This window comes from Homo sapiens, chromosome 9 (assembly GCF_000001405.40).
Source record: "Homo sapiens chromosome 9, GRCh38.p14 Primary Assembly".
NCBI lineage: Eukaryota > Metazoa > Chordata > Mammalia > Primates > Hominidae > Homo > Homo sapiens.
This window is the reverse complement of record NC_000009.12, coordinates 132,695,687-132,703,361: the sequence shown is the minus strand read 5'-3', so window position 1 is coordinate 132,703,361 and position 7,675 is coordinate 132,695,687.

Below are 7,675 nucleotides of genomic sequence, written 5' to 3'. Positions count from 1 at the left end.
CAACATCAGGCCATAACAGCAGAGTTATAGCCAGATAAAAAGTTGCAGGAGTTGATGAAAAGGTTTAGGGAGAGAGTTAACACACCAGCCAAGCAAAAGGATAGAACTTTCCAAGGAGAGAAAGAACCCAGGAAAATGGCTTATGACCTGCAAATCATGTGCAGTGAGGTACAGCAAAAGTTGAACTTCTGAGATATAAATCTGAGAAGTTTCAAAAAGAAAAATGTTACCTTGAGAAATGAAATTACCATTCTGAATTGAAAAGACAGTATTTCCAACCTGAAACTAGGGAAATGAAATAGATCTCAGAAATAGAAACTGTCTGGAGTTTAGAAGATGGATGTTAAATATATTTAAGAAATAAAAATAAAACCTCTTATAATTTTCCTAAGAACAAATCAATAGTTCAAGACTTGGCTGGGCATGGTGGTTCACACCTGTAATCCCAGCACTTTAGGAGGCTGAAGCAGGAGGACTGCTTGAGCCCAGGAGTTCAAGACCACCTTGGGCAACATGGTGAGACTCTGTCTCTACAAAAAATTAAAAATTAGCCCGGCACAGTGGCATGCACTTGTGGTCCCAGCTACTCAGGAGGCTGAGGAAGGGGAATCACTTGAGCCCAGGAAGTTGAGGCTGCAGTGAGCTGTGTTCATGCCACTAGACTCCAGTCTAGGTGACAGAGCAAGACTGTCTCAAAAAAAAAGGATGACTTTGTTGTTCTAACATCTGGAACCAAACTTTTTAGTTTGGTATTAGATTAGTGTACTTTTAATATCAAAGCTCAATCTTTGTAGACTTATAAATAATTTCTTTCTAATTATAGCCAACTTGATCATACACAAAATTTCTTTCATAAATTTCCTTTTCATAAATCTTATCACCCTTTACTCAGACCACTGACGACATGCTTGGACTTTCTGCTTTGTCCTATACAACCTCTTTCTTAAATAACTAGTCATTTAATTTTAGGACAAAATGTATCAAAGAAGATTCTTTCTCATATAAAGTTATTATTTTTCTTTTTAATTTTTTAAAACCAAAAATATATCTTTATATGCATATTATAACTTTCCTCACATATCTCTCTCCTTATTTCTATCTTGTTCCATATTTTGAAACAACCTTTAAATGACCTCCAAATTATACAAAATTATTCTTTTTCCAATAAACACATTTTTATGCCTTTTTAATTTTTTTACTAAAAAATCTTATTTTTGACACTTTTATATGGAGAATTGTATATATTAATTAGAATTTTAACTCTCAGTAACCTTAAATTTTAGTGAAAACCTAGGAAGCAAAAAATCTTGAATTATCTATCACATATTAGTATTTTATAGATGAGAACCATTTTATAATTTTTAGAAATATGTTATCTGATTATATAATATTTAAATGAATTAATAGATCCAAACACACTTAGCCCATTTATAACATTCAAGAAGCCAAAAACAAACTTATGTTTAGTAATTTGTTTCCATTTTTACCTAATTTGGAAATGACCCACACATTTAATGAGTATCTATTATTTAAGTTAATGTAATTTAAAATTTCAAATTACATGAAAAGTTCATTTATAAGCATTTATCCCATTTACATTTACCTAATTTGTTTAGTTTTTGACAGTTTACCTAGATTGCTTGTAAAAACTGAGATATTAGACAAAGCTAGTCATTATTTCAAGTTATTTTCCTGTTAACCTTTTTTTTTTTTTTTTTTTTTTTTTTTTTTTGAGATGGAGTCTTGCTCTGTTTCCCAGGCTGGAGTGCAGTGGCACAGTCTTGGCTCACTGCAACCTCTACCTCCAGGGTTCAAGTGATTCTCCTGCCTCAGCCTCCTGAGTAGCTGGGATTACAGGTGTGCACCACCATGCCCAGCTAATTTTTGTATTTTTAGGAGAGACAGGGTTTTGCCATGTTGGTCAGGCTGGTCTCGAACTGCTGACCTCATGATCTGCCTGCCTTAGCCTCCCAAAGTGCTGGGATTACAGGCGAGAGCCACCACGCCCAACCTTTTTCCTGTTAACCATTTTTATAGCCTATAAATATCAGATGTTCACCTAAGTAAGAACCTTAAAGTTAAATATATGTGTGTTTTGCCAATAATACAGAAGATACATTTGTTTCCATTAAATCAACAATATTAGTCTTATTTATAAAAAACTAACATAAAGATCATTCTGTTTTAGGCTGGGTTTACAGTTTTATAAACTTTGTAGACATTTATATGATACTTTGAAGACATTTGTATTTTCCTTTTACCAATAATTTTAAAACCAACTTATTTATTAAGGATTTATGGGCTGGGCATGGTGGTTCATGCCTGTAATCCCAGCACTTTGGGAGGCCAAGATGGGTGGATCGCCTGAGGTCAGGAGTTCAAGACCGGCCTGGCCAACACAGTGAAACCCCATCTCTAGTAAAAATACAAAAATTAGCTGGGTGTGGTGGTGCGTGCCTGTGACCCAGCTATTCAGGAGGCTGAGGCAGGAGAATCACTTGAACCTGGGAGGCGGAGGTTGCAGTGAGCTGAGATTGTGCCACTGCACTCCAGCCTAGGTGACAGAACGAGACTCCATCTCAAAAAATAAAAAAAAAAAAGATTTACTGAAGTCATGTGAACTAAAAAGCATTTGGGTAAATTACTATTTTATATTAGCATTCATTTATCTTAATATAATTCCTTAAGGGATTTTTGGTTGACTATACTAGATTTTTATATGTCGACACAACATAAAATGTAATACATGCACATGTATGTAAACACACCTAAACACATATACACATCATGTACACATACACAATCATCTTAGAGCTTTCATTTTAGAATATTAGTCATGAGCTAGAAATACAAATTTATTCCTTTATAAAAGACAGTTAGAGCTAAATCATATTTCTGACAAAATTGGGATCTGTTCACATGACTAAACTTTATTTTTCCCAATAGATAATCTAATGAAAGCTGTGGACCAAAATTTGGGGTAAAGCAGTTTTCATGGCAGTTTGAATTTTTAAAAACCTCTTTCACCTTCCTCACCCCCACTTTTCAGTTTCAAATGAGGTTAGGGGTAAATTTTCAATGTTTACATTTTAGCTAGGACTGATGGAATTGAATAAGGAAAACATCTTCAAGTAGCCTTGAACTAGTAACAAATCTTTTTTTTTGGCCAGTCTGCTTTGCTTTATTAGTAAACACAGATGGTGAAGAATTTTAGCAGTTTTCCCCCACCCAGCAGATGTTTCTTTTTGGCTTCAGCATGGCAGAAAAAGCAAAATGTTTATGTTGGACAGAGATACTGCATATAATTGCTCAGAGCTCAAGATTTTGACTCGTTTGATCCAGGAGCCTAACTTTTATAAACATTTACCTAGTTCTTTTTATTTTCAGATTATTAATTTTTCAATTAAGTGTTCCATCACTGCACATAATTGCTAGTCAGTCAAATCTAAATGTATATTTCTAAAAGGTGTCTAGGTTACAATTTGTACACCAGTACAAATTACTGATGTAATTTGTAAAGCCATTCATTTAAAAGCCCTTTAAGACTACTACTTCCAGCTGGGCACTGTGGCTCACACCTGTAATCCCAGCACTTTGGGAGGCCGAAGTGGGAAGATCACCTGAGGTCAGGAGTTCAAAACCAGCCTGGCCAACATGGTGAAGCCCCATCTCTACTAAAAATACAAAAAATTAGCTGGGCATGGTGGCGGGCACCTGTAATCCCAGCTACTTGGGAGGCTGAGGCAGGAGAATCACTTGAACCCGGGAGGCAGAGGTTGCAGTGAGCCAAGATCGCACCATTAAACTCTAGCCTGGGCAACAAAAGTGAAGCTCCATCTCAAAAAAAAAAAAAAAAAAGACCATTACTTCCTTTTTTATTTAAAAAAAATCTTGGTTGGAATGCCATAAACTGAGTTTTAAATCAATATCAGTAGCACAGTCAGCAGATTCAACGGAGGCAGGGAAAAAAAGAATTTAGAAGACTCTACATGGTACTTCGATACTTCCAGGTTTTTTGAATCATGACCATTTGAGCTCTGAATTTTCCTTGATATAATTTTGCCTATCAGTTTAAACATGTGCACAAGAATGGGCCATAATATGTAGCTGGCTGGAGTCCCAGAAAAGCTGGCATGCCTTAATGTTTGAGAATGCCATTCTATTTCTTATCAATCTCTCAAGAGCAAAGAAAATCCTGTAAATCCTGTCAGGAAATGTCAAGCATTTACACCAGTGTTTTAGATGGTGGTGACTTCCCTAGTGGGTTTTTTTTTTTTTTTTTAGACGAAGTCTTGCTCTGTTGCCAGGCTGGAATGCAGTGGCACGATCTTGGCTCACTGCAACCTCCGCTTCCCAGGTTCAAGTGATTCTCCTGCCTCAGCCTCCTGAGTAACTGGGACTACAGGCACGCACCACCACACCCAGCTAATTTTTATATTTTTAGTAGAGATGGGGTTTTACCATGTTGGCCAGGATGGTCTCGATCTCTTGACCTCGTGATCTGCATGCCTCGGCCTCCCAAAGTGCTGGGATTACAGGCGTGAGCCATCATGCCCGGCCTTCCCTAGTGGTTTTTAATTAGCTATCCCATACCCACCATTTAGAAATTTATTTTGGCTCTCAGAAGATTTTCAGAAACAAGCAAGGGAAGAGAGTCAAACCAAATCAAAAGAGACCAAGACAAGAGTGTTCATAAAAATTTTAACCCAGGCATTCAGATCAAACAAAACATTAAAATAGGTACACAGACCACACTAAAAATATATTCACCAGAAAAGACCTACCTCACAGACAGAATGTAAATTCTGCAGAATATAGAGTTGGGTACCCAAAGCTCAGTGTTCAGAGAGACACTTGTCTTTATACCAAAAAGGGCTTACCAGAAGACAAAAAGTCTTTTATCATCTGAGGAGGGAATGTATGGTCCTTTATTAAGGTGACCTTATCTAAACAAGATCCCAAATAATATTTTAAAAGCCTCTACCAAAAAGTGGGAGGCTCAGCCTGGGAAAAGACTCACCAGGGCAGAAAAGGTGAGCTGCAGAAGCAGAGAGCACAAAAGGCTCACATGAGTACTGCACACTGGTTCCCATAATCGCTGATCTGATAGTGATCTTTTTTTTGGGTCTCACTTCTGACACCATATATGTCAGCATAAATATGAGATAGGCTCTCTGAAAGAAAAATATTTGGGAATAGAGCATTGCAGTGGGGATACATGCACCATAGTAAACTAAGTGTGTTTTCAGGGAGGTAAAGGAAGACATAGATTTTTAAGGAAAAAATGAGGATTACATAATTGTTTTGAAATAATTATCCTTGGCTACAAAGGTCAATAATAAGCGTAATGCACGTCTGAGGTTGGACAGGCAGTTGCTGGGCAGATATCTTTGAATAAGTATTTTTTTGTATAACGTTGCAATGGAGTTTGTGCAAGGTTGTGGTTTCTGTTGAGTATTTTATGATACTTTTTGTTATCAGGCATACAAGCATGAGAATCCTGTCTTTATGACCCTCCCCCAGCTCTATTTGTCAGGGTACTGTTGGGTTTTTTGTATGTTTTAATATTAGTGACCCCATTTTGATTCTACCAACTTTTACAACATCCTATTTGCTTTATATAGTCATCGTTTTTGCCCATCTATTTTCCCTTTTTCGTGCTCTTATTTGCTGCTTCTCTGGATTTCCTTCTACCTAATAATACCCTTTAGAATTTCTTTCAGTGCTGGTTTGTTTGTAATAAATTATTTTTCATTTTTGTGTTAAAATATCTTTACTTTCATTATGACAGGATACTTTTGCTGAGTTCAGAATTCTAGGTTGGTATTTTCTTTCAGCATGTTGAAGGCACCTTTCCATTGTCTTCTCACATTCATTATTTCCACTGAGAAGTAAGCTGTCAAGTCTTATTGATGCTCCTTTTAAGGTGACTTGTCTTTTGTCCTTGGTTACTTAAAGCTTTTCTAGTTTTTGATTTTTAGCAGTTTTATTATGATAGATTAGATGTGCTTTTCATTTTCTTTGTCCTGTTTGGTGTTTATAGGGCTTCATGAATTTTTTAGTTAAGTTTTGGAAAATTCCAAGCCATTATTTCTTCAAATATGTCTTTTGCCCCATCTTCTTTCTCCTTTCCTTCTGGGATTCCTATTACATTTATTTTCCTTACATCCTCCCATCATATCTCTAATGCTTTTTCCTGCATTTGGGGGTTTTGTTTTTCTCTCCCCACATCATTCTGGATATTTTCTTCTGGCTTTTTCTGTAAAAGCCCAGACAGTGAATATTGTAGGCTTTGTGGGCCATGTGTGGCCTGTGTTGCTGCTGCTGCTTCTTTTGTAGCCCTGTACAACTGTAAAAATTCTCAAACTTATCTTTTATTTCTCTGAGAATATTAAACATGATTAAAGTTCATATATGATAACAACATAATTTGGATCACCTTTTTTTTTCTGTTTTAAGAAAAACATGTTGTCTTATAGTCTTGTGTGCCTAGTTATTACTTTTTGGGGCTGGCTATTATTGATTGAATGCCAAACATTGTGATTTGAGGCCTAGGGATAGCCTCTTCCTTCAAAAGAAGATCATGAGAAGCTCTGACCAACCTAGATCACTTTAACCCATCTTCAAGGATTGAAATGATGGGAAGCTGGGCTTCAGTTTCTGTGGAAACTAGCCTGTTTTCAGTTCACCTTTTCTCTGAAGGTGTGCTCTTTTGGATTCCCAATCCTAAAAGTGGAGGTTTCTTACCAGGATAGCCCCTTTCTTGGTGGGCAATGCTGTCCAATTTCTGTTATGGTCATGCAATGATGTCAAAAGCTCTGCTACTCTTTTTAGCCTCTCATCTCTTTCTTCTGAAACTGGCAGACTCATCTAGGAGAAGAAACCTACCTTGAATGCTGGGTTTGCCTGAGACTCCTCCTTCTCCCAGATATTCGCCTTGTAATTCCTGCCTGGTTCAGTCTCCAACACTTTCATATGTATATTTCAACATTTTAAACTAGCTTTTCTGATTGTTCTCAGCAGGAATATGTGTCTAAATTGTACATTTATCACTGCTGAAATCCCTGCAATCAGTATTTCATTTAAATTATCTCACAATAGGAGTAGCACAAATACTTTGGCTTTTTTTTTGAAGTTTCTTATTCAATGAACTTCAAACGATGGGCTGGATTAAGCTCAAGTACACCAATGGATGGGAGGACTAGCTTCAATTCATCTGAAGGGGAATTTTAGAGGAAGACTGAAATTAGCCAGACTTGCAAGAGAGAAAGGATTCACTACAGTGGTCTATTCCATGTGTCCTCCTTAGGAAAGGATAAAATTAAAAATCTTGTCTTAATAAAGTTAAAAGTAACTGGTGTAGTGATGCTGAGAATCTCAGGTAAGACTGACGATTTGTACAAACCAATAATCCATGTGAACTGTTGGTGGGCACCATAGAAGCAAGGCAGGGAGCAGTGTTTGGGTTCATTTGTGGACCAACAGTATTCAAAACACAGATCCCAGATCAGCAGTGTGAACAGCAACCAAGAATGCACTAGAAATAGCAGTTCTCAGGCTTTATCCCAAATCTACTGAATCAGAAATTCTAGGGGTGGGGTTCACCCCACCCAGTGTTTTTTGTTTTTTTTGTTGTTGTTGTTTTTTGTTTTTTTGTTTTTTTTGAGACAGAGTC